This window comes from Homo sapiens, chromosome 16, assembly GCF_000001405.40.
Source record: "Homo sapiens chromosome 16, GRCh38.p14 Primary Assembly".
In the NCBI taxonomy this organism is placed as follows: Eukaryota; Metazoa; Chordata; class Mammalia; order Primates; family Hominidae; genus Homo; species Homo sapiens.
Genome location: NC_000016.10, coordinates 85,044,073 through 85,071,190, shown reverse-complemented (window position 1 = coordinate 85,071,190; position 27,118 = coordinate 85,044,073). Strand labels below are relative to the sequence as shown.

Here is a 27,118-nt window from a genome sequence, read left to right as displayed (position 1 = left end):
GGGACCTCCATCTTGGTGTCGCCACCACTAGGATGGATAACATGCTCACATGATTTCAGGCCACTTCTCATCACTCTTTGCAAGGGGCCAACACTCTTTCCCAAATTTAAAGACTCAAAAATGGAGCAGAAGGCTGAAGATCACTTGGCTTATGCAATCTTCATTTATGTTTTGTAGAAAACATCTTGGTCCTTATTTACTCTCAATAACAGCATCAGATGAAATATGTGTATCTGCAGGCTTTTGCAGTAATTTCTGGAACGCTTGTGAAGATGCATCTGACTCAGGTGTCCACATTCCGTATTGCTGATGGGCTACTGCAAATAGAGGCTGGCTTTCCTGGCAAATGAACAAACTTCTGGGCATTTTCCCCTTTCGTTAACCAGCGTGTGCTCAGAGAAAGCGCACCCATCTCAGTGTTGGTCAAACAAAACGAGTAGGAAGCTACATCTGCTCTCCTAAAATGCACTCAAATTAAACATAAATGCATTTTTATTTATCAATTTTTTTTGAGACGGAGTCTCGCTCTGTCTTGCGCAGGCTGGAGTGCAGTGGCGCAATCTCAGCTCATTGCAACCTCTGCCTCCTGGGTTCAAGTGATTTTCCTGCCTCAGCCTCCCGAGTAGCAGGGATTACAGGCACCTGCCACCACGCCCAGCTAATTTTTGTGTTTTTAGTAGAGACGGGGTTTCATCATGTTGGCCAGGCTGGTCTCAAACTCCTGGCCTTAGGTGATACACCTGCCTCGCCTCCCAAAGTGCTGGGATTACAGGTGTGAGCCACCGTACTCAGCCCATAAATGCATTTTGAGACAGTCAGATATTTGGATTATCATATAACGGTTCTCTTTTCTAACCACATAGAAAACTGAGGCTGGTCTCCATCAAATGAAAAGCACCCATGAATAAGGCGGAAGTCAGCCCTTGACAGTTTACACATGCGGGACTCAAATCACGGTGGAAACAATGGACTCTGCAGAGTAAAACGCAAAATTTCTTTCTTTTTTCTTTTTTTTTTTTTGAGACAGGGTCTCCCTTTGTCACCCAGGCTGGAGTGCAGTAGTCCGATCACGGTTCACTGCAACCTAAGCCTCCCTGGCTCAATTGATCCCCCAACCTCAGCCTCCTGAGTAGCTGGGACTATGGGTACATGCCACCATGCCTGGCTAATTTTTGTGGTTTTTTTTTTTGTAGAGAGGGGGTTTCACTATGTTTCCTAGGCTGGTCTCAAACTCCTGGGCTCAAGCGACCTGCCCGCCTCAGCCTCCCAAAGTGTTGGGAATACAGGTGCAAGCCACTGAGCCTGGCCACAAATTCTAATTGTGTTAATGAAACTGGAAAACTTACCCTTAAGCCAGTGCCTCTCAGACGCTGACGTGTAAGAACTGTCTACTGATCTTGTTAAAGGGCACGTTCTCACTCAGTGGGGCCAGGCAGGGCTCAAGACTCTGCATTTCTCACAAGCTCCCAGGAGATGCCAATGCTGCCGGCCCACACACGACACAGCAGCAAGACCATCCTTATCTAGTGTGCTGCTGTGAATGGTGGAAGCTCCACAATCCACACCTGAACCCCATGGCTCCGGGGTGTGTGTGCGTCCTCCTTCCCCTGGCTGAGATATTAACAGGCAGTGAACCGGGGTAGGGAAACATCAGGCTGATGCACAGATTCCCACTTCTCAGTGGACGTCACAGCCCCGAACTCTCCCTTCCTGCTGCTCCAATTGTCAATACTCCTTATTTTACCCTCAAGAACCACAAAAGAACGGCCATCCAGGGAAGGGCCCCATGCAAACAGCTGCTTCTGAATCAGCTGCTGGCCAGTATAGTGGCGCACTGCTGTCATCCCAGCACTTCGGGGAGTCGTGGCAGGAGGACTGCTTAAGGCCAGAAGTTTGAGGCTGTGGTGAGCTATGACTGCACCACTGCACTCAAGCCTGGGTGACAGAGTGAGACCTTGCCTCCAAAAAGAAAAAAAAAAAAAACACAAAAAAATGAGCTGGGCATGGTGGTGTGTACCTATAGTCCCAGCTACTCGGGAGGCTGCGGTGGGAAGACTGCTTGAGCCTAGGAGATGGAGGCTGCAGTGAGCTGTGATTGTGTCGCTGCACTCCAGCCTGGGCAACAGAGTAAGACCCTGTCTCTCTAAAAAAGAATCTGCTCCTTATGAGCACACCAGTATGGCTAACCACAGCTTTATTATCTTACGTTGGCCCTATATTTAATTTCAGTGAATCATTGCAACCTCTTAGCCAACTATAGCTGTGACAAGGAGCGCTAGGGAGTGGCTAGCCTACACATGCTCAGATGGTCCCACAAGCAGAACAAGTGCCCCTTGTGTTTAGCAACAATGAGGTGAGACAAGCGTTGGCGGAGGGAAAAGAAAGAGACAGTCCCTCCAAAGCCTTGTTTAAGAATGCATGGATGGCCGGGCACGGTGGCCCACGCCTGTAATCCCAGCACTTTGGGAGGCCGAGGCAGGCGGATCACCTGAAGTCAGGAGTTCGAGACCAGCCTGGCCAACATGGTGAAACCTCATCTCTACTAAAAATACAAAAACTGGCCAGGCGTGGTGGCTCACACCTGTAATCTCAGCACTTTGGGAGGCTAAGGCAGGCGGATCATGAGGTCAGGAGATCGAGACCATCCTGGCTAACATGGTGAAACCCCGTCTCTACTAAAAATACAAAAAACTAGCCGGGTGTGGTGGCGGGCACCTGTAGTCCCAGCTACTTGGGAGGCTGAGGCAGGAGAATGGTGTGAACCCAGGAGGCGGACCTTGCAGTGAGCCAAGATCACGCCACTGCATTCCAGCCTGGGCCACAGAGCCAGACTCTGTCTCAAAAAAAAAACAAAAAAAATACAAAAATTAGCCAGGCGTGGTGGTGCACACCTGTAATCCCAGCTACTTGGGAGGCTGAGGCAGGAGAATTGTTTGAACTCAGGAGGTGGAGGTTGCAGTGAGCTGAAATCGCACCACTGCACTCCAGCCTGGGCAACAGTGTGAGACTCCTTCTCAAAAAAAAAAAAGAATGCGTGGATAAAATTCAGGAACAACATGCACTGGAAAATAACAGAGCTCAGCCGGGTACGGTGGCTAACGCCTGTAATCCCAACACTTTGGGAGGCTGAGGCGGGTGGATCACATGAGGTCAGGAGTTCGAGACCAGCTTGACCAACATGGTGAAACCCTGTCTCTATTGAAAATACAAAAATTAGCCAAGCGTGGTGGTGGGTGCTTATAGTCCCAGCTACTCGGGAGGCTGAGACAGAAGAATCACTTAAACCTGGGAGGCAGAGCTTGCATTAAGCTGAGATCGCACCACTGCACTCCAGCCTGGGTGACAGACCCAGACTCTGTCTCAAAAAAAGAAAAAAAAAGAAAAAAAGAAAAGAAAATAAACAAAAAGAACATAATGGAGCTCACGGGGATGATGGGGACCTGTGAGCTGGGCACTCCGGAGCGTGTCCCTCCAGGGATTCTCTGCATGGTTGCCCTTCCAAATCACCTGGGAGCCGCACATACTTTGATGCTGGGCCTCACCCTAGAGAACTGATATAACTGGTCTGGAGTGAAGTCCAGGCTCAGGTATTCTTTTAAAGTTCTCCACGTGGCTCTGCATGCAGCCTGGAGTGGAGTGAGGCCCCTGCAGTCGCCACCCCTGGCTGATGGGGAAATGGAAGCTCTGGTCCCAGGTGGCACCCTGGGGAGAGGCAGAGCCGAGAGCAGGAGGCGAGTCCCCTTGGGCCCTGTGGCCACACCAGGCTGTCTCGTCCACACAGGCCCCTTACCCTCCAGAGAAGATCTTCTCCACGTAGCCACGCATGAAGTCCCTGAGTGCCAGGGTCTCTTCATCCTGGGTAGACTCGGTGCTCTGGTTGGAGGAGAAGGACTCGTTGGAGGAGGAACGGCGGTCTTGGTCCCAGGACGGGTGCGAGGGCGACTCGCCCATGTCATTCTCACTGTCCGCAGACTCAGTGGTCTCACTCTCTGATGCACCGTCCCCCAGGGAGCCATCGCCGTCCTGCAGCACAGGGGGTGGTGCCTCCAGGGGAGAAGAGGTGGGTGCCTCAGGCCCAAAGTCGATTAGCGAGCCCACGGGGACCTCTGGGGTCTCCATGGCTCAGGGGAGCTGCTGGTGAGGCTGCCTGGAGGGGAGGCTGCCTAGAGGGGAGCCCAGCAGCCTGGTGTCCCAGGTGCGTTAGTAGGAGCCCACCAAGCTCACAAGTTGCCAGTAACTGCCGGCTACCAAGAATGAGTCCTTCACAGCAGCTCACCTGGCCCTACGGCATCTAGAATGGAAACACAGACACAGACATTAGCGCCACTCCTCACCAGAATCCCGACCTAGATCACAGACTCCCCAGAAAGAGAATCTCTGCTCTTCCGGAATTTGGGGTGCCTCTTTGCTATCATCTTCCTACTGTCCGCTTTACTGTTCAACACCTGGTCCATGGTAGGTCCTCAATAAATACTTGTGAAATGAATGAACAAATAAACACTGACATCAGCATTTCAGACTGTCAGCACACGGCCTCTGCTGGCCTCCTCCCCGCTCCAGCCCCAAGACTGAGCCCATCGCCAGGACAGAAAAGGCCCATCCTGGGCTGGAAACGGAGGATCACCAGGGACAATCCACCTGCCCGCTAGCTGTCACTGGAATCAGTGGCTACGGAAGAACCTCCCTACTGAGGAAGACACACCTCACCTCCTGAGCTCTGACCTCCTCCTTCCTGGGCTCTGTTCTCGTCAAAAGCATTCCCGGACTGTCACAGGTCTATCTCCTCTCAGCATCCTTCTCAAACCCTATGATGGTTGCTAAGCACAACATTTGCCATCTGGACCTGTCCCCTCTCCCAGCACTGCAGCCCCGCTGGACAACGACACACCCCTCGGCTCCTCAGCCTGGGCAGCCCTCTCCCTTCTCCATTCCCCAACTTTTTCCTCCGCCATTCCCACCCTGGAGTTCTATTCACCCCTCAAGCCTCTGCCTCGGCCACGTCTTCTGAGAAGCTCCACTCTGCTCCTATTCAACATGAATGACTGACTCCTCTGTGGGCTCCAGCATCTTATTCAGCCTCATTCATCATCCTGCTTGCTTTACTGACAGACACCAGTATCTCTGTTTACCCGTAAAGTATACGCCCCTCCAGAGGGACCATGCCCTGGCACCACCGTAGCCATGCTGTGCCCAGCGAGGACTCCTGACTACGTGCATGTGTGTCGTGTGCTTGCTGAACGAAGGAACAGACCGGATTGTGAACATGCTCACAGGGTCAGGGGAGCTGGCTACATAGGTCACAGGGTGGCAGAGCTGGGATCTGAATCTTCGCTTCTAACCCAGGTCTCCTGACTGCTGGTTTAGAAGGTACTGGGGAACCTTCCTCACCAGTACAGAGGCAGACAGCTAGGCGGGAAGGAGACGCCCTCCTGACAGCCCCTCAGAGCAGAGCACACCTCTAACCACAGCCCTGTCCCTGTTAGACCCCAAATATCTAGGACAATGCCTGCCAGTGAGGTGGCTGTGAAACTGCTGAACTGAACGCATCTTCAGAGGACAATTCAATAGCAGAATGGCCTTTTCTGCCTCTTAAGAGCTTAATGCTCACCCATTGATGATGGATTCCTCCAAATTCTCCAGCCTGGGATATTTTTAAATACCCTGAGTCAGAAAGAGAAAAGGCTGGTTCCAGGTCACCAGCGTGGTGCTAGGCGTGTTCAGGGGAGCCCCGCAAAGCAAGCCTCCGTCCACAAGAGAGAAGCATAAACCTCAGCTCAGTAGAACTTTCCAGGCCAGGACAGCACCAAGGACTCTGATGAGCTCAAAAGGCAGTGGCTACAGCTCAGGGACCTGGAGAGCAAGGAGTGGCCGGTCGGGGTCTCCCCTCGCCAGCTGCGTCCCCGGCCAGGGCGCCTAGTCTCTGATGGGTCCCCCCTGGCCGAGGCATCAAGATTGGATCAGAAACCCAAGGCCCTTCCACAAGCGCATTCTCACTCACCAAAGAACAGAAAACCACACACACAGTAACATGCCCGGCATTAAAAATGAAAAACCACACACTAGTAAAATGTTTACAGTAAATATAGTAGGAACATTAAGCTAGTGCTGTCTGTACTACAAATTCACACAACTCTAAAAAGTCTATATTCTAACAGCTACACAAACCACTCAAATAGGCAAGGCACGCAAGAGGAAATACAATTATAGGCCGGGCGCGGTGGCTCACGCCTGTTATCCCAGCACTTTGGGAGGCTGACGCGGGTGGATCACCTGAGGTCTGGAGTTCAAGACCAGCCTGGGCAACATGGTGAAACCCCATCTCTACTACAAATACAAAAATTAGCCAGGCATGGTGGGGCTTGCCTGTAATCCAGCTACTCAGGAGGCTGAGGCAGGAGAATTACTTGAACCCAGGAGGCGGAGGTTGCAGTGACCCGAGATGGTGCCATTGCACTCCAGCCTGGGTGACAGCACAACTCCGTCTCAAAAAAAGAAAAAAGAAATACAATTATTAAAGGCGTAGACAATTCTTCAACCCATACTAATAACCACGATATAAATATGCAAATTAAAGCCACAAGGTACCATCCCATACTTCTAAATTAGCAAAAATTTAAAAACTATCTAAATACTGGTAAAGTTATGGTAAAATTAACATTCTCAAACACTGCTGGAATAGGGAGAGATAATACTTCAAAAGGCAATTTCTATCATTCTTATTTTTCTCTCTTCTGATTCAGGAATTCAAATGCTTGGAATTTATCCTAAGAAAATAATTCAAAACACACAAAAACTTACATAGAGAAAAATGCTCATTGCAACAGTATTTATAATCCTGACTAACTGGGGAGATGGGTAGAAAAAATACCTAAATATAGTAAAACGGGCCAGGCACGGTGGCTCACTCCCGTAATCCCAACACTTTGGGAGGCTGAGGCGGGTGGATCACCTGAGGTCAGGAGTTCGACACCAGCCTGGCCAACACGGTGAAACCCTGTCTCTACTCAAAATACAAAAATTAGCCAGGCATGGTGGCGCACGCCTGTAATCCTAAACACTCGGGAGGCTGAGGCAGGAGAATCGGTTGAACCTGGGAGGCAGAGGTTGCAGTGAGCTGAGGTCAGGCCACTGCACTCCAGCCTGGGCGACAGAGCAAGTCTCCACCTCAAAAAAAAAAAAAAAAAAGTAAATAAATAAATATAGTAAAATGGTAAATACATGTGAAAAAGTTGCAGTAGTGATCAGTGTATGATACAATTCAGAAAACGTTCACTTTCTAGTGAAGTAAACAGAATATTCTTCGGTCAGCCAAGGTTTACTGAGTGCTCCTGCTTGCCACCCCCTGTTCAGAGGCCTGCGAATACTGAAGTGAGAGAAATTTAATTTTACTCTAATTACAATCATGTATACATATGCAAAAGCGATGGGAAAGAATGTAGAAATGGCTGGCGGTGCTGGCATCAGGGTGATTTCCTCTTTCATTTTGTTCATTATCCTAACACTGCATGGCAAACACTCACAGTTCAGAGGGAAAAAGGAAACAAGTCACTGTCTCCGGAAGCCGTTCAAGCAGTAGCAGGGCCATGTCTCTCTGCCCACACACAGGAGGTTCAAGATCAAGCTGGGGCTGGGGGCAGTGGCTCACGCCTGTAATCCCAACACTTTGGGAGGCCGAGGCGGGTGGCTCACCTGAGGTCAGGAGTTCAAGACCAGCCTGGCCAACATGGCGAAACCCTGTCTCTACTAAAAACACAAAAATCAGCCGGGCGTGGTGGCAGGTGCCTGTAATCCCAGCTACTCGGAAGGCTGAGGCAGGAGAATCACTTGAACCGGGGAGGTGGAGGCTGCAGTGAACGGAGATCGTGCCTCTGCACTCCAGCCTGGGAAATACAGCGAGACTCCATCACAACTAAATCAATCAATCAATCAATCAAACTGGACGATCGTGGCTATTTCTGATCCAGCCTCAGGCACTCTTGGGCCGTTCAGATGCTCTCGTGAGTCACCCTCTCCCAGAAGCCCTGAGTGCTGGGTGCCGCCTTCCTCCGTGGGCTCAGCACGGAGGCGATATCACAGGAGAGGCACAGAGTGAGAGGAAGCAGATGGGTGGCAGGAGGGCTGGTCCTGCACGCCGATAGCTGTGGCGTGCACCACCCCTGTCCCCGGACCCCTCAGCTCAGGGATCTCAGCTGTCTGGGGCTCGCTCACAGATCTAAGATGTCACAGCAGTGACTGTGTGTAGTCATGGCAAGGGAAGCAACCCCACCCTCTTCCTCTAAGAAGGAAAGGTCATTGTGGGCCTCTAGGCAGGACAAGGTCATGGCCACTCTCACATTGCAGGGTCACAGTCTTGGCCATCTGGCGAAAACAGAGGAGGTGGTCCAGCAAGGAGCCACACTGTCCCTGCTCAGAGCCAGCCCGGTGCTACCATTTGGGAATGTAGACCCAGGAGTATCAGAGCTTCTACAGGTTTCTAAGGAATGCTGAAATCCCGTTACATGAAATCTTCTGATTTTTCAACACTGGCAACTAATTTAAATTTATTTCAAAACACGCTGGGAGTCAAAAAACCCATCTGTGGATTGCATCCCAGCCCATCTGCTTCGTTCTACATTCAAGGAGGTACTGAGGCCCACTGCAGGTCCCCAGACTCTGAGAAACCGTGTTTTTGGCCACAGGGGAATCTGTGTCACCGCAGATAGGAACATGCTGGCCTGCGGGCCTGAAGCACTGCAACCCCCCTGCGGTTACACTTTGCAATTCGCATCGTAGGCCCCATGATGGAGGCTTCCACCAACCAAATTAGGCTAAAATTCTAAGTCAACCTGTACCTTCCAAAGCCCTTATGAGATTCTGCAAACATCCAGTCATTCTTCACACATGTACTGAGCATCTACTATGCATCGGTTACTGTGCAAGGAGCTAGAAATGAAGCCATGAGTGAGACCTTATGGGGTGTGTGTGTGTGTGTGTGTGTGTTTACGTACGTACCAGGGGCAGGGAGAGGGGAAGATAGAGTTAATAGAATAAAAAACCAAACAAGAGCTTCTGCAGCACTAAGTGCTACAGAGACGATCTGAAGGTGATGGTCCTGAGAGGGCTGAGAAGTGGCTTCTTTGGACGGGGAGGTTGGGGAGGCAGACCTCTGAGCTGAGATGGAAAGAGGGAGAACCAGCATTGAAAAGGCTTGAAGGTGACCCAGGCAGAGGGAACATGAAGCATGCAGGCCCTAAGGTAACCACTTTAGAAAGTTCAAGAACCGGGAAGGCCAATGAGGCCGGGGAGCCACCGCTCATGGGAAAAGAGGCCACAGCGGTCTGTATTCTGGAGGGGGTTTCCTAACCTCCTGCTGCAACCCCTTCCGCCCCACTTCCCCCACTGCTTCTTCCCACCCAGCAGCCTCCAGCTGTAGAAGGAACTCACGAGATTGCCCCGGTGTGGCTGCTCTGCCACTTCCCCATGGAGCTGTGCTCACACTGATTTCCCCAGCATCCCGGAACAACCAGAGCTGTGGCTTCTCCAGCAGGTTGGCCTTGGGCAATCAGACAAGAGCTCCCTGCAGGGAGAATCTGGAACTTTCTGTGAGCCTGCCCCTTCCCATCAACCTCAAGACTCTCCTCTCTTTTCGTGTCCCCAAGAACTCCCAAATGTGCTGCTCCTCTCACCCAGAGTGTGCAAAACCTCAGGCAACACACAACACACACACATCACACGCATGTGCACCTGGATTGTCTCCCCTGTTGAAGCTGCAGTAAGGCAAGGCGGGGAGAGGCCAGGAAGAGACCGGGCAAGGAACCCGCACACAGGTCAGCTGGAGAACCAGGGGCCCTGATCCCCACGTCATCCTCACCTCTTACAGCGACATCTCAGATGCTTGAGGAGGCATTTCTAGATGTGGAATTGCTGGCCAAAGGGTGTGCGCATTATTAAGGCTTGTGATAGGAATCACCAAGTTACTTTGCCAAAAGTCTGTCTGCAGCAATATATACTTGGTGGGCTTTTACCTGAAACTTTTCTTTCTTTTTTTTTTTTTTGAGACGGAGACTCACTCTGTCGCCCAGGCTGGATGGAGTGCAGTGGCGTGATCTCGGCTCACTACTACCTCCGCCTCCCGGGTTCAAGCAATTCTCCTGCCTCGGCCTCCCAAGTAGCTAGGAGTACAGGCTCCCGCCACCATGCTGGGCTAATTTTGTATTTTTAGTAGAGATGGGGTTTCACCATGTTGGCCAGGTTGGTCTCGAACTCCTGACCTCAGGTGATCTACCCACCTCTGACTCCCAAAGTGCTAGGATTACAGGTGTGAGCCACTGGGCCCAGTCTTTTTCTTTCTTCTTTTTTTTTTTTTTTTAGATAGGTTCACGCTCTGTTGCCCAGGCTGAAGTAGAGTGGTGCAATCTTGGCTCACTGCAGCCTTGACCTCCTGTGCTCAAGTGATCCTCCTGTCTCAGCCTCCTGAGTAGCTGGGACTATAGGCATGTGCTACCACACCTGGCTAACTTATTATTATTATTATTTATAAAGGTGAGGTCTCACTATGTTGCCCAGATTTGTCTCAAACTCCTGGGCCCCAGCAATCCTTCCAACTTGGCCTCCCAAAGTGCTGGGATTACAGGCGTGAGCCGCCGTGCCTGGCCTGACCTTCATTTCAACTGTAAGGTGGAAACATCACCTAACCCCAGCCTCACAGCTGGGGTCCCTGGGTTTTGCTCCTGCTGTCCGTGAAGGGTGCTGTGCAGGAAGGGCAGGTGCACTGTGCACATGGGGCACCGGGACCCCGAGACACCACCTGTGTCTCTGAGGGAGGCCTGAAGTTCCCTCCTCTCCACCGCTGACTAAAGTACCTAGTTTGCCAACTCCCTGGCAGCCCAAACAAGGAAAAATGCACCTCTTCGTCCTTGAGTCTCAGCTCCATCACAAATCAACCTAAGAAAGCCGGGCACAGTGGCTCACGCCTGTAATCCCAACACTTTGGGAGGCTGAGGCAGGAGGATCACCTGAGGTCAGGAGTTCAAGACCAGCCTGGCCAACATGGTGAAATCCCGTCTCTATTAAAAATACAAAAATTAGCCAGGCCTGGTGGTGCATGCCTGTAATCCTAGCTACTCGGGAGTCTGAGGCATGAGGATCGCTTGAGCCCGGGAAGCGGAGGTTGCAGTGAGCCAAGATAGCGCCACTGCACTCCAGCCTGGGCAACAGAATGAGACTCAGTCTCAAAAAACAAAACACACAAACAAACAAAAAATCAAACTGGGAAATCATTTGAATCTGTACCCTAGTTTTCCTCTTTGAAAAATGTGAAGGAGAATTGCTCTTTTCCCTAATCAGTAGGATTATCACAGGAAGTGACGCACTACATGAAGGGCCTTAGAAGAAACACTTTGGGGAAATAGGTTATGGTCCTCCCAGCTCGAAGGGCGAAGCTGAAGATCTTCCCTGGCCGTGCTAACATGAGACAGCTCAGAGGAGAAATCAATGACCCTATTATCAGAGCAGTTCATACCTTTCAAAGTGCAGCACTACACAAAACCATTTCATTCAGAACAACTTCACACCACTGAGGCAGTATTATTGCTTTCACTCCCAGTTGAGAGATGAGAAACGTGGGGCTGGAGAAGAGGGGTGTGTGCGGGGACCACCTCCAGGCAGACCTGGCATCTGATAGCATCTTAAGCGTCATGTTCGCACTCGGGCACCCCACTCTTTTCTGGAGCCACCTTAGCTGGATACTGCCTCCTATGACTAGAGGAGACAGCCTGGCTCAGGGGGAACCCCAAATCCTCACTACATGAGGCACAGCTCAAGGGGCTGAGAATGTTTTTAACCTAGAGTTGTGGTTCCCAAACTGGCACCAGGGCACCCCCAGAACACCTAAGCAAAGTTATAGGGACACCACAGCATAGATCAATTTTTTGAGGGAAACACAGCAATACTGGATACCTGCAAGACGCACATTACTAGCTTGAAGCAGTTCACTTCTACCATGAGGTCATGTTTACATGTCTTTTGATGACACCCTATCTGAGCCAAAAAGAGATTTTTGGCTGTTTCAGACTACTAAGCAATAGTTGGTCTAATAGTTGGTCCAACAGTCCATGTCAAGTCACAGGAAATTTCAATGTCCTTTTAGATGTGTGTGTCTAAATCCAATGTCAGTGTGTTTGCGTTGCTGTCCAGACATAGATTTATACTCAGTCAATATGGATCTAGAGCAACTACGAGACGGTGGAATCAACCAAATTCATTATGGCAGTTGGGCAGTAGATTTAGTTGAGTTTCTTGGCAGCCAAAGCAAAAAAGAAAAGCATCCTTGCTCATAAAATTCTCTTGATCTGACAAATTCATCTGCAGAGTAGCTTTCTGCAGATACTGAATTTGGAAATGCACTTGTCAGGAGGGTCTTCGTATGCAATGACACTGATTACTGTGATGACAAGGTCTCTAACAAGATCTATAAAAGGTAAAGAGATGTTGAAATCAGCATTTCTTTCTTTTTTTGTTGTTTTTTGTTTGTTTTCTTGTGTGTTTTTTTTTTTTTTGTGAGATGGAGTTCCGCTCTTGTTGCCCAGGCTGGAGCGCAGTGGAGCAATCTTGGCTCACCGCAACCTTTGCCACCCGGATTCATGCGATTCTCCTGCCTCAGCCTCCCAAGTAGCTGGAATTACAGGCATGCGCCACCCCACCCGGCTAATTTTGTACTTTTAGTACAGATGGGGTTTCACCACGTTGATCAGGCTAGTCTCGAACTCCTGACCTCAGGGATCCACCTGCTTCGGCCTCCCTAAGTGCTGGGATTATAGGCATGAGCCAACGCGTCCGGCCAAAACAGGCATTTCTTTAAAAGACTCTCAAAAAATCTGAAGGCATACATGAAATCAATTTGGTACAGGTATTTGTCTGGCTGGATCCCGCTACTAGGTGAAGAGAAGAGCTCCCTGATACATGAGGCGTGACAGTGAACATGCCCGTGAGGGTGCCTCTCCTCCAGTGCCAGATGCCTCAGTAGGGCTTTTGACAAGTGTCAGACCACAGACCATTCATGCCTGAATTCTCTGAAGAGGGCCTGAAGTGCCGAGGTTCTGATTTGATAACCAAAATAGCATCCGCGTGCTGTAGTCACCGGGGAGGGAGAATTGTCATTCTGCTGTGAACATAAGAGCCTGGCTTTATTCCCTCAGACACAGACAGCAGCAGCATCTTAGCCATATGTAGGGGCTACTCCTGTGGGGAGCACTGCCCAGTAAAGACAAAAATGTTGGGGTCACCAATGAGGAGGGCAGTGGGGGCAGCTCCAGCCCACACCAAGCCGTGTGCAGACACACCAGGTCCCACACAGAATGACCTACTCACAGGTGCTGGCTTGAAAGAGGCAGCCTCAGCACCACAGGAAAGGTAAAAGGAGAGAGAGAGAAAAAAAAAAAAAACAAAAACAAAAAGCAGAGGCAGCCTCTCCAGTGGAGATCCTCTAAACCAGGCACTGGCATACGGGCTAGCTCTGGCTGACTGCCTCCTCGTGGCCCAGGACTGAAGATCCCAGGACAATACTCCACCAACACAAGTTCCCTGGGAGTCAGGAGTCGTGTGTGTTTTCTTCACTGCAGTATTCCCGGGACTGGAACAGGGTCAGGCCCATAAGAGATGTTGTCAATGTGTTTTGGTTGAAAACTCACAGTGCCAGCAAAGGTGAGCTCCACCCAAAGGGGCTGCATCTGAACTGCTCCTTCCTCCACACCTGCCATAGTCTGCAAGGTCAGTTGCAGAGTCCAGCCACTGGGGGCCCAATCACACCACACACCTCCTCCCGTCGCCCTGTACACTTGGTGATGGGGGAGAAACAGTTTAAGGAAGACTGTCAGTAAAATGCCCTGCTGCTGATTTATTTTGTAACTGAAAGGAGAAAAAACTATATGATCATTTACTGGTCTTTTGATCAATAAAATGCATCAGCCTGGACTCTACGCCATTCATCTCGGCTGCATGAAAGTGTACACGCCACAATTCCTGACCACAGGGGGTTTACAATATAACCCAGGAGGCAAAGAAAAACCCATTCAACAATTCAGCTGACTCGCAAACAAACATGCTTTCTGTGGAGGTGCTATGTACAGGGCACTGCGCAAACAAGAACAACTGACAGACTCAGTCTTCAGACACTGTACACCCAGTAGGAAAAATAAGACAAGTATCTCGGCTGGGTGCAGTGGCTCCTGCCTGTAATTCCAGCCCTTTGGGAGGCTGAGGCAGGAGGCTCGCTTGAAGCCAGGAGTTCATGACCAGTGTGGGCAACAAAGAGAGACCTTGTCTCTACAAAATATTTAAAACATAATTAGCCAAGCATGGAGGCATGCACCTATAGTACCCAGCTGTCTGGGAGGCTGAGGCATGAGGATTCCTTGACCCCAGATGTTCAAGGCTACAGTAAGCTATGATCACACCACTGCATTCCAACCTGGGTGACAGAGTGAGACCCCACCTCAAAACAAGAAGACAAGCATCTAAATAATTGGGCAATTGAGCAGAGGGGGCCAGCACCGTAACCAGTGAACAAAGGGCTCTCGGCGAGCGCGGCCCGGAGGAATGCAAGAGCACACCCAATGGCAAGGAGATTCTCAGGGAAGACTTGGGGAACTGTGTCTTGGAAGGCTGGGTGGGTTTTAAGTGGAGCTGGGAAGGGAGGCTTTCCTGGAGAGGGACCCACATGGAGAAAGTCAGGCATTTCCCGTGGGGTGGGCTGTGAAGCTGCCCTGGCTCCCTCTGGCTGCTGTTCTGTGGAATGGAAAGAGCTACCGCTGCAGTGTGGTATGATGGGGAACTTACTGACGGGCTTCTCCTGAACCTAACTTCCAGGGCGTTTGAAAGACTTCTCATGGCGGTGTTGAGAGGGGGCCTCGGAAAGGCGGGCTTTTCTAACGCCGCGCTGATGGGAAGGAGCAAAGGGTGGGAGGCTTAGGAAGGCATGGCTCCTATGGCAGTTTAGGATCCATGTCTGGGATCCTGGATCCCCACTGCAGACCGTCGTGCCGTCCATCGCAACCAACCCCCAGCTATCCTGAGTTCAAGGTGCCTGCTGGCACGTGCTTCTCACATGGACAGGAGAAACTGCTGGCTGTGGCTTTCAGGGGGGTCTGGGCTGAACCACAGGCACAAACAAAGCACAGAACCATTTAGAGTGCAGAGAAGGGCTGAGCTGCAGCACTGGCAAGGCCAGGATGGGGACTGGGGGAGACACTGGAGGGAAAGAAAAAGCACAGATTGCCCCGCAGCACCACCCAAGCACCAGCTTAGAGTTTGAGTGGGCCCGAGAGCCCACGCTTGTTGGGAGGCTGGCTCCGAGCACTCGGCTGTCACACTGATGAATTACAACTCACAGGCTTTACAGAGGAACTCTCTGAATCACGATTTCTCATCTCCGAAAAAACCAAGATAACAGGCTGGGGGAGAGGTGAGAAGAAGGGCAAATGGAAACCTCATTTCAAAAGGAGAAGGTGGCGGATTCTGTGCAACAGATTAAGTAAGATATCCATGTCAGTAGGTGTCTAGAAAGAGGCTACCAACACGACACTCTGCAAGCACCAAGAAGGGGAAGTGGTGAGGGCTGAGGTCAAGAGCTGGTGCCAGACTAAGCCCTGCAGTTGTTTGTGTGTGTTTGTTACAGACTCAGAGATCAGGGAGATTGTCCTGTCCTGTAGAACAGTACACTGAGTTTTAGCAAGGGACTTCACTTTCACTTTCTGTCTTTGAAGACGAGGCAGAACATGGCCTAAACAATGTGTAATTTCATGGATTTAGAAATATTGTATTTCATTATCCTAAAATGCATCTTATTTTCTTTTGCACTTTAAGATATCTGAAATCACATGTGTCTTACCACTGTTTCAACCAGCCCATCATGGTACTGTCTAGAGACAAGAGTGGACACTCCTTTTCTATTTTTAAGCAATCAAACAAACAAAAAAAAACCACAAAAAGAGGCTGGGGGCGGTGGCTCATATTTGTAATCCCAGCACTTTGAGAGGCCAAGGCGGGGAGGCTCACTTCAGTCCAGGAGTTTGAGACCAGCCTGGGCACACAGTGAGACTCTGTCTCTAAAAAAAATAAACTAAATTAGCTGGGCGTGGTGCCACACACCTGTAGTCCCAGCTACTCGGGAGGCTGAGGTGGGAGGACTGCTTGAGTCCAGGAGTCAGAGGTTGCAGTAAACCGAGATTGTACCACTGCACTCCAGCCTTTGTAACAGAGAGAGACCCTGCCTCAAAAATAAAATGAAATACAGAAAATACATAAATCATAACGATGCCGTTCAATGAACCCTCACAAAGCGAATACGTCCATGCAGCCACCACCCGCGCCAGGACGTACAACATTGCCATCCCCTTTAGGCCTCCCCAAAGGTAAATGGATGGCACATTCTGGGAAGGGCACACTGCTGGCGACAGGATGATACTGTACAGAAACATGGATTTTGGCTGGGCGTGGTGGCTCATGCCTGTAATCCCAGAACTGTGGGAGGCTGAGGAGGGTGGATCATTTGAGGTCAAGAGTTCGAGACCAGCTTGGCTAACATGGTGAGGCCCCATCTCTACTAAAAATACAAAAATCAGCCAGGTGTGGTGGTGCACACCTGCAATCCCAGCTACTTGGGAGGCTGAGACAGAGAACTGCTTGAACCTGGGAGGTGGAGGTTGCAGTGAGCCGAGATGTGGCCACTGCACTTCAGCCTGGGCAACAGAGTGAGACTCCATCTCAACAACAACAAAAAAAAAAAAAAAAAAGAAAAGAAAAAGAAAAAAAAGAAACACAGATTTCAATGGCACTGAGATAACTTCAGAAATATGGGTCTTTGAATGTGAAGAAGCTTTCGAAGTATTTTAACCAATTTATTTTGCTTATATTTTCTTTCTTATGGACCAAGGTGACACATAACAATCTATGTCTAAGTAATTCTAAAAGACATTCTTTCAATAAGGATAGAACAAAAATTCTAAGTGATAAGAAAATGTGTAATAGTGTAAACGGCAGTGTTTAATCTTATTTTTGAGACAGGGTCTCACTGTCACCCAGGCTGGAGTGCAGTGGCACAATCACAGCTCACTGCAACCTCCACCTCCTGGGCTCAAGTGATCCTCCCACCTCAGCCTCCCGAGTAGCTGGGACTACAAGCATGCGCCACCACACTCAGCTAATTTTTTTTTTTTTTTTTTTTGAGACAGAGTCTTGCTCTGTCGCCAGGCTGGAGTGCAGTGGCATGATCTCAGTTCGCTGCAAACTCTGCCTCCTGGCTTCAAGTGATTCTCCTGCCTCAGCCTCCTGAGTAGCTGGGACTACAGGTGCACGCCACCATGCCCAGCTAATTTTTGTATTTTTAGTAGAGACGGGGTTTCACCATGTTGGCCAGAATGGTCTTGATCTTTTGACCTTGTGATCCGCGCCTCCTCAGCCTCCCAAAGTGCTGGGATTATAGGCGTGAGCCACCGCGCCTGGCCTTAAAAATTTTTTTGTAGTGACAACTTCTCACTATATTGCCTGGGCTGATTCTGAACTCCTGGGCTCAAGTAATCTTTCTTAGTAATGTATAAAATAAAGATGAATCTTAGGACTGATGAGTTGTTAAGTTTGATAAAACATGATAGCTGAGCTGCCTTATCCAGAGAGTCAACCTGGAAAGATGTCTCCATCCCTAATGGGGCAAACTCTAGTCCAGGCCTATCCTTACACCCTATTAATTATTCAGATATGAATGCAAACAACATGTTGATAGAGAATGTGGGAACATAAAACCAAGAGATACAGTTAACTTACAGAATGACACAATCGAGACCCAAAAGGATTTTGGCAGGCTGCAGCAATGCGCTGGGTCTAAAAGATGCCTCTGGCTGGGAAATTCATTCATTCGCTGGGTGTTTCCTGAGTACCTTCCGTGTATCAGGCATGATGTAGAAACAACATGGTGTCTGCCTTCCAATAACTCATAAATGACTAGCGAGGTTATCTAAAAATTTGATCCAGGTCGGGCGTGGTGGCTCACGCCTGTAATCCCAGCACTTTGGGAGGCTGAAGTGGGCGGATCACCTGAGGTCAGGAGTTCGAGACCAGCCTGGCCAACATGGTGAAACCCTGTTTCTATTAAAAACTACAAAAATTCGCTGGGTGTGGTGGTGGGCACCTGTAATCCCAGCTACTTGGGAGGCTGAGGCAAGAGAATCGCTTGAACCTGGGAGGAGGTTGCAGTGAGCCGAGATCGTGCCACTGCACTCCAGCCTGGGTGACAGAGCGAGACGGTCTCAAAATAAAAAAAATAAAAATAAAAATAAAAATTTGATCCGAAGTTACACAAGCACGATACTGAGAGGCAGCTCACTGCTTGAGGGCGCGCTTGCTGAGTCAACATATGTGGAACTAATGAAAACAGCAAACTCTGAACCGACCTTCAGATGCACGGACAAAAGCACCTGCCCCCAAACCACAGTGATGATGCCATTCACTCTGCTTCTGCTGGTCAGGCTGCTCCTGGAACACTCTGTTCAATTCCATGCCTCAGGAGAAATGATCAACTTTCCACAGCAGTACTGTGGTTAGCCACGTCCAAGAATCTATACTCATTGCTATCCTGAAACCTTAAGCCCAAAGAAACCCATTAGGATGCATCGATTGATTGATTGACTGATTGACTGATTGATTTGAGACAGGGTTTTGCTCTTGTTGCCCAGGCTGGAGTGCAATGGCACGATGCAATGGAACCTGGGAACCTCGGCCTCCCAGGTTCAAGCGATTCTGGTGCCTCAGCCTCCCGAGTAGCTGGGATTACAGGTGCCTGACACCAGGCCTGGCTAGCTTTTTGTTGTTGCTATTGTTGTTGTTGTTGTTGCTTTTTGAGACAGAGCCTTGCTCGTTCTGTCACCAGGCTGGAGTGCAGTGGCGTGATCTCAGCTCACTGCAACCTCCACCTCCAGGGTTCAAGCGATTCTCCTTCCTCAGCCTCCTGAGCAGCTGGGACTACAGGCGTGTGCCACCATGCCCGGCTAATTTTTGTATTTTTAGTAGAGACGGGGTTTCACCATGTTGGCCAGGACGGTCTCGATCTGTTGACCTCGTGATCTGCCTGCCTTGGCCTCCCAAAGTGCTGGGATTACAGGCGTGAGCCACTGCGCCTGGCCAATGCGTCGTTTTAGAAAGGATAACAACCTTGCAAAGGCATTTTCATTTAATAAGTGCTTGTAAGACTTAAAAAATCATGAAAGGAGGCCAGGCACAATGGCTTATGCCTGTAATCCCAGCACTTTGGGAGGCTGAGGCTGGAGGGTCACTTGAGCCCAGGAGTTTGGGACCAGCCTGGGCAACACAGCAAGACCCCGTCTCTTAAAAAAAAAAAAAACATGAGAGGGAAAAGGCGAGAGCTACCAAGAACCTGGAGAGCATCCAAAGAAATCCCAAACAAACCCCGCCAGCATCGTTAGGGAGTCTAATAATCATATCACATGAGCAAGGGTGAGAAAGTTGAAATTTACCATGGGGGTAAGTAACATGGGAGACAAGATGGTGGTCTTTAAATGTGTAAGAGTCGCTGTGTGAGAGGAAGTAGAGAGTATGATTCTATGTGGCTCAGAAGGAAAGCTGAGCCTGCAGAGGAGTTCCAGCAAGGCGGAGCCACCACCAACCGGAACAGTTCTCTGGGGTCTCCTTTTGAGGGAAGCGGGAAGGGGAATGGGGATGTCTGCTTGTTAACAGGTTATTAACAGGGAGAGGCCATTGAACCTCTAGGGTTTCTTGCCATTTCTCTTCTGAGATAACATTTTATAAAGCTTAATGCAGTTCTTCTCCACTAAAACTGTCATAATGGCTATATCCAAAGATAGGTCCTATTTTATGACCTCCGGGAAGAGGAAAACATCTAAATTTGGTTCACAGTTCACAGAAAAAAAGAGATAAGGGGCCATCTGCTGGTTCCCCAACCCAGTGGGAGAATAAAACGCATTAAGTTCTCCACGAAGACGACCTCACAAAACTAGGGCTTCAACTGGGTCCTTTCTTTTTTCTTTTCCTTTTTTTTTAAGACAGGGTCTCACTCTGTCGCCCAGGCTGAAGTGCAGTGGTGCAATCATAGCTCAATGTTAACCTCAAATTCCTAGGCTCAAGTGATCCTCCCACCTCAGCCTCCCAAGTAGCTGCACCACCATGCCTGGCTAATTTTTTAACACATTTTTGTAGTGATGGGATCTTACTGTGTTACCCAGGCTGGTCTCAAATACCTGGGCTCAAGTGATCCTGCCGCCTTGGCTCCCTGAAGTGCTGGGATTACAGGCATGAACCAGTGCACCTGGCCCACTGGGTCCATTTGTAAACGCCTGTGAAGGGCAGGCTCTGTGCTAAGTGCTGGGCACACGGCAGGCAGTGCAGGGGATACATTCCTCACAGCACAGAGCACACAATCTACTGTTTCTGCCTTCCTTGACTCAGCAACAATGCACAAGGCTCCACAACAAACCCAACTCTACCACACTGCGGAAAACAAGGGGTGAGTCAGCCCCCAGGGGATTGGGGAGGGAAGAAAAGAAACACCATGGTTATAAATCAACAGCTCGGCTGGGCACGGCGGCTCACGCCTGTAATCCTAGCACTTTGGGAAGCCGAGGCAGGGGGATCACTTGAGGTCAGGAGTTCGAGACCAGCCTGGCCAACATGGTGAAACCCTGTCTCTACTAAAAATACAAAAATTAGCCTCCCAAGGCTGAGGCAGGAGAATGGCTTGAACCCGGGAGGTGGAGGTTGCAGTGAGCCGAGATTGCGCCACTGCACTCCAGTCTGGGTGACAGAACAAGAGTCCGTCTCAAAAAAAATAAATAAATAAATAAATAAATAAATAAATAAATATCAATCAACAGCTCCTCCAGAGTAGGAGTCTTTGAAATTTCTTGTTTTTTCAGAAGTTCTCCTAAGTCCCAACTCAAGTCACCTCACACAAGCACCTGGATTTACACTTTGCCCTTTAGTCATTGTTTAATTGGTCCTAGGTAATTCCTGAGTCGAGGGCTGGGCCCTTGAGTTTCAGGCACCGAGACAGTGCAGGGTGAGGGGTTGTTTACCATCAGCGATCACCATTGACTGAGTTGGTTCCATTGCAACTGCGTGTTAGAACCCGCCATAAGGCGCGCCCTCCCTGGGTGACGGGCTGTACTTCTTTCACAAAAGGACACAGCGGCTGACTCCGGGACAGCTGAATTCAACTCGGACAGAGACCGACTTGGCCTTCCACTCTTAAGTAATTTGGCAAAATAAATGAATATTGCCCCAACCCCTTGGCATGGAGACAGCCACACTTAATTACTGGACAGGGAGAGGCTCCCTAAGAGATGCAGGACTCGGGCCTTATGAATGTGAATGAGGCCATTCTTGCACTGCTATAACGAAATACCCGAGACTGGGTAATTTATAAAGAATAAAACCAAAGGTTCAATTGGATCTACAGGCTGGGCAGGAAGCATGATGCTGGCATCCGCTTGACTTCTGGGGATGCCTCAGGAAACTTATGAACACAGCAGAAGGTTAAGAGGGAGCAGCCACGTCCTACGTGGCAGGAGCTGGAGCAAGAGAGAGAATGAGGGGAGGTGCCACACGCTTTTAAACAACCAGATCTCATGAGAACTCGCTATCTCGAGGACAGTGCCAAGGGGGATGGCACTAAACCATTCATGAGAAATTCGCCCCCGTGATACAATCACCTCCCACCTCCAACACTGGAGATTACAATTCGACAGGAGATTGGGTGGGGACGCAGAACCAAACCGTATCAGAACCCAAGGTAGGTGAGGGTGGAACGGAACCAACCTCCACCGTCTTTGGATTTGGTGCTCAGCTCCCGCTGGCCCCATGAAGGGCCAAAGCTAACAGCTGTGCACTGAGGACATCCATGCCTCTATGGGAGGAAAGACTGGGCAAATCCTCCTGGATCCAGGGATGGCCTGGCGGGCCACAGTGAGCCTTCTGCTCAAGAGCCACTAGTGTCTGTCCCTGCCTACCCGTGACACCTGCCATCTCTGGCTGGGGCCCAAGGCGCTCTGCAATCTGGAGCTGCTTGTAGCTGCCCACGCAGTTTGGCAGGGAGCTAAGACAGAGGGGACATGGCCACCGTGCAAAGCAACCTCACAGAAGCACTCGGTGTTGGTGTCTTCAAGAAAGAACTTCTGCCCTAATCAGGCCGCTTTTCCCTCCCTCTCCCTCTCACACACACACTGCACCTTTGCTGAGGCTTTCTTAATTTCCACCACACTCCCCACCTCCCTCTGGGCTGTGGCCAACCCAAAACCTGCCCCTCAATGTGGAGAAATCGGAAGATTGTTATTGTGTTCTACTGTTTTCTACAGGTCATTTGTGGTCTTCTGAAATCCTCCCTTATCTGGTTGATACATGTTTAACAATATTTGATTAGTATTATTATCATCATTAGTAGAATTTGGAGACACAGTCTCGTTCTGTCACCCAAGCTAAGGTGCAGTGGCACAACCTTGGCTCGCTGCAGCCTTGAACTCCAGGGCTCAGGCAACTCTCCCACCTCAGCCTCCCAAAGTGCTGGGATTACAGGGGTGAGCCACCACATCCAGCTTCAGAAAGTCTTTTAACAGAGCCAGAATCATTCTTGCAATAAAAGCTTTGTTTTTTGAGAAAAAAAGGGGGGAGAGGGTGAGAGTGAGAGAAAGAGAGAGAGAGAGAGAGATCTGCTTTGAGACACTAAATTCTTTATCAAGCCCAGATCCAATCGTGCAGCATGAGGCTCTGCACATGGGTGACTACCTGGATACAGACACTTGATATCATGCATTAAAGACTCTTGACTCTTAGAAACCCCTTTCCATGTCTCCATCGATACCTTTCTGACACTCCCCGTGGAAAGGATAGGCTCGCGTGCTGACGGTCGAAGCCTTTGTCTCAACCTGGAAGGCGGGGTGGGTGCAGAGGGCTTCCCTCCTCCCTCTGCAAGGTGCACATGGAAAGATGGGTGAGGGAGTTAGGGGATGGGCTCCAGAGGCCCACAGGATCCTGCATATCAGGCGCTTCTGCTCACTCTCACCTAATCATTCACCCTTTACTTTATTCCTGACTTCCTCATTTCTGTTTGTAATCCCAGACGTTTCTGTTTAAGGCCTTTAAAACACATCTTCTCATTTCCTTATGGTTCTGGTTTCCTTATGGTTACTCCACAGGGTAAGCACCACCCCCGCCACCCTTCCCTGCCCACTGAATGTGGCTAAAAGGCTAGACAGGCACACAAAGGAGCTACTGAGGCCTCTGAGAATTGACCAGTAGCAGGTAGAAGGGGGTTGAAGACCAGAATTTGAAGTGCCACCAAGGTTGCGGTGAGTTTGCCATGTCCCTGACCCTGGTATCCCCAGCCTGGACTAAATACAACTCGATATCCAGAGGCGAGCAAGAGTGTGCCCGGGGGCTCCAGGAGAAGCATCTAGTAACAGGAAAGGGGTCACCTGGTTCTGAGACAGTGGGCCAGATCCCTGGGTTTTTTCCTTTCTCCCTGTCTCTCTGGTGCCCTGGTCCCCAGGAAATTCCACAGCGGCAGTGGTGGCAACAGTGACAGTGCCAGCAGAGGGGTCAGCCTGCAGGTGTCTGAAGCTCTGAGGAAACCTTCCTTTCCAGCTGGAGGAACGGTGGTCCAAAGAGGGTGAAAAACCCGCTGGCTTTTTTTCTCCGTGTCCTCTTCTTGCTTGGCCACAAAAGTAAGCTCAGTCACGGGAGAAGCGTGGCAGAGCTGATAACTGAAGCCCTGCCTCCTGGCTGAAGGGGTGAAGATAGGAGGCCCAGGAAACCGGAAAGTGCTCGAGAGATTGCAGAGAGGGAGGAGCTCTCGGGAAAACAACCCCATCAAGTTGTTACGAGCTCCTGGGCTCAGCCCTGAGCGAGGCATATGTAAACAGAGCCCTCAAGCACAGACCCTGAGCACTGAAGGTTAGGACGGAGCATGCCCGGGGCCCACACAGGCCATGGAGTGCTACATAGTGGACAGATCTGAAGAGTGGACAAAGGCTTGGAAAACGGCACCAAAACCCACAGCAGAATGGTAGGGACTGAGAACCTGAACCCAAGCTGGTGGAGTGCCTGCCACAACCAAGCTACCAACAACTCTCCAGAGGACTGAATCAGGAACCACAGCTTCCTAACGTAATATTCAGAATGTTCAGGACCAATCCAGAACCACTCAGCATACAAAGAAGGTGAATATCCTCAACTCGCATGGGAAAAGATGATCAACATCTTATCTGAGCTAACAGAGACATTGGAATTAGCTGACAGACTCCACAGCAGCTATTACAAAAAACACTCCAAGAAGTAAGGAGGGGTATTCTTAACATAAAGGGAATGATGAGAAGTCTCAGGAAAGAAACAGAAGGTATAAAGGAGAACCAAATGGAAAACTTCGAACTAAACATACAGTAACTGAAATTGTAAAAACCCACTAGATAGGCTCAACGGCAGAATGAAGATGACAAAGGAAAGAGGCAGTGAACACGGAGAGAACCCTGGGCTGCACACCCTTCCTGACAAGCACATTCTGGACCTAGGTTCCCTCTCAGTGTGTATCACCAGCTGACCTCGAAGGATGGCACCAGCCTACAGACGGGCCGTCCATCTGTAGAAGGGAAGGGATTCTTTCTTGTGAGAATGAGGAACATGAAACATAACCGAAGGGGACTAGAAATGACGAAGGCAGAGCAGACGGGCCTCCGCTGGGCTGACGCTTGTCAGCAGTAGGCTGAGCATCAGGTTATGTGGGAAAGGAGGTGGGAGAATTTAGGGAGTTCGCAATATCGGAGCCCCAAGTTTTTCCGTGGTTCTTCATCCTCTGTAAGGAGAAAGGTGTCATGGGCATGTAGAAAGCACTCCAGGTTAGGTAAGATGTTTGTTTTTAAACTGTACAGGGTAAGAAACTGCTAAGAGAATAGCCATGTGTGAAAGATGCAGCCGCACTGCCCAGAAAGGCATGGCGCGTGGTAAGAAGGACTTCACAAGAGACAGCCCCAAAGAGTTGACTCCTACTCGGCTCTCTATATAAAGCTCAAACAGCCAGAGACCAAGGGAAGGGCCGAAGCAGCTCCCTCAATGTGCAAAGCCAGAATGCAGGCAAGATCAAGGGCAACATCCTGGCTCGTTTCCAGGGGCTGTGGCACGACCCACCCCCTGCGACATTTCCTGTGGATCCTTCCTCGGGTGGTCGTCCCTTTGAGATGCACATTGTCGGCTGCCATCATCTGCCTGGCCCTGCAGGAGCACAGCCATGGGACTAAGATAAGTACAGAAAGTCCAAGCCAGATGGGCAGATGGAAGTGGGCTACTCACTGGAGCTCAACAAAGCCTTGCGAGGTGCCCGCTGATGCAGGTGGCACTCGTCCACACAGCCTGCACAGGCTGGAGCAGAGGCCAACGCACAGAGCAGAACCTGGTCCCCTGCCTGATGACAACTTAGGACCACTGACTCTTCAAAACGGATCCCGGTTCCAGGAATTCCATGTCATGTCCTTAAAACAAGGTCACTGGGGCTGGGTGCGGTGGCTCACGCCTGTAATCCAGAACTTTGGGAGGCCGAGGCAGGTGGATCATTTGAGGTCAGGAGTTCGAGACCAGTCTGGCCAACATAGTGAAACCCCATCTCTACTAAAAATACAAAAATTAGCTGGGCATGATGGTGGGTGCCTGTAATCCCAGCTACTCGGGAGGCTGAGGCAGGAGAATCACTTGAACCTGGGAGGCGGAGGTTGCAGTGAGCCAATATTGCACCACTGCACTTCAGCATAGGTGACAGAGCAAGACTGTCACAAACAAACAAACAAGGTCATTGGGTCTCTGCTTAAGTATCAAATATAAAGACTCTCTTCCCCCAAAGAACAGTGAGTGCTTGGCCATAAATCAGCCCTGATCAGCTGAAACCAGGCATGTGTGGTAGCCCCAGCCTCCCGTTCACCTGCTCTTTCACAGCACAGAGATGTCCAGAAACGCATCTGACTGCTACAGACCATTGACATGATGAGGGACAGATGCTTTCTTTTTTTTTGTCATTTATTATTTATTTATTTAGAGACGGAGTCTCGCTCTGTCCCCCAGGCTGCAGTGCAGTGGTGCAATCTCAGCTCACTACAAGCTCCACCTCCCAGGTTCACGCCGTTCTCCTGCCTCAGCCTCCCAAGTAGCTGGGACTACAGGTGCCCACCACCACGCCCGGCTAATTTTTTGCATTTTTAGTAGAGAGAGGGTTTCACTGTGTTAGCCAGGATGGTCTTGGTCTCCTGACCTCATGATCCACCTGCCTCGGCCTCCCAAAGTGCTGGGATTACAGGTGTGAGCCACCACACCCGGCCAAATGCCTTCTTTCTTAAGAGGAGCATTACTGCCTGGGCACAGTGGCTCATGCCTGTAATCCCAGCACTTTGGGAGGCTGAGACAGGCGGATCATGAGGTCAGGAGTTTGAGATCAGCCTGGCCAACATGGTGAAACCCCCGTCTCTACTAAAAGCACAGAAATTAGCCAAGCATGGTGGCACGCGCCTGTAGTCCCAGCTACTTGGTAGGCTGAGGCAGAAGAACCGCTTGAGCCTGGGAGGCAGAGGTTGCTGTGAGCTGAGACCGCACCATTGCACTCCAGCCTGGCGACAGGGCGAGTCTCTGTCTCAAAAAAAAAAAAAAATAAAAATAAAAAGGAGGAGCATTACTTTGTGGTGGTGGATGGACAGAGACTATGTTTCCAGAACAGCAGGGACCTCACTTCGAACCCCAAGAAAGGAAACATTGTCAACGTGTCCCCCTCTGGGATACTACGAGGGGCCTGATTTCTGAGTCACCTCGCTGAATGCTGTGACCTGCCCTAGATGACACAGGGGACACTCGACATGCCTTCCTGGGGACTAGAGTCCCTGCACACACAGCGGGCACCACTGGTTCACCTCTCCTCAGTTACAAACCAATACGACTGACCCAATGTCTTCACTGTTGATGGGACAAGGGCCCAAGCCACAGAGAACTTAATGAGTGACTACAAAAGGAAAAGATAAGGTGGGCTTCCTTCTTTCTGTCCTATTGAGGTTTTTAAGAAACAAAGATGGAAAAACGTTCATGCCAGTCTACA

At 50.1% G+C, this 27,118-nt stretch overlaps 1 protein-coding gene across 10 annotated transcripts in view, besides 2 other annotated features; it reads right to left on the bottom strand.

The window, feature by feature from the left end:
* The window catches only part of KIAA0513, a 66,436-nt gene that overhangs the window by 23,040 nt on the left and 16,278 nt on the right, over positions 1–27,118 (bottom strand). For 6 of the 10 annotated variants that reach the window (XM_047434984.1, NM_001388359.1, NM_001286566.2 and 3 more), the window contains exon 2: positions 3,791–4,291. In XM_047434984.1, the coding sequence (XP_047290940.1) occupies positions 3,791–4,119 (329 nt within the window). In that variant the 5' untranslated portion in view covers positions 4,120–4,291. Of the gene's footprint in view, positions 1–3,790; positions 4,292–7,520; positions 7,980–22,858; positions 25,553–27,118 lie in introns of those variants that run through there. The other 4 variants (XM_017023912.2, XM_047434981.1, XM_047434983.1 and 1 more) reach the window with 4 other exon arrangements.
* Positions 3,406–3,906: an enhancer, noted in NCBI's record as "H3K4me1 hESC enhancer chr16:85100891-85101391 (GRCh37/hg19 assembly coordinates)". NCBI's record gives its function as "activates a minimal SCP1, AML or CMV promoter by ChIP-STARR-seq in naive H9 embryonic stem cells {active_cell/tissue: H9 hESC(naive)}" and the evidence as "EXISTENCE:reporter gene assay evidence [ECO:0000049][PMID:30033119]".
* Positions 14,634–14,928: a silencer, noted in NCBI's record as "tiled region #15308; K562 Repressive DNase unmatched - State 25:Art". NCBI's record gives its function as "represses a minimal TATA promoter and a strong SV40 promoter by Sharpr-MPRA in K562 cells {active_cell/tissue: K562}" and the evidence as "EXISTENCE:reporter gene assay evidence [ECO:0000049][PMID:27701403]".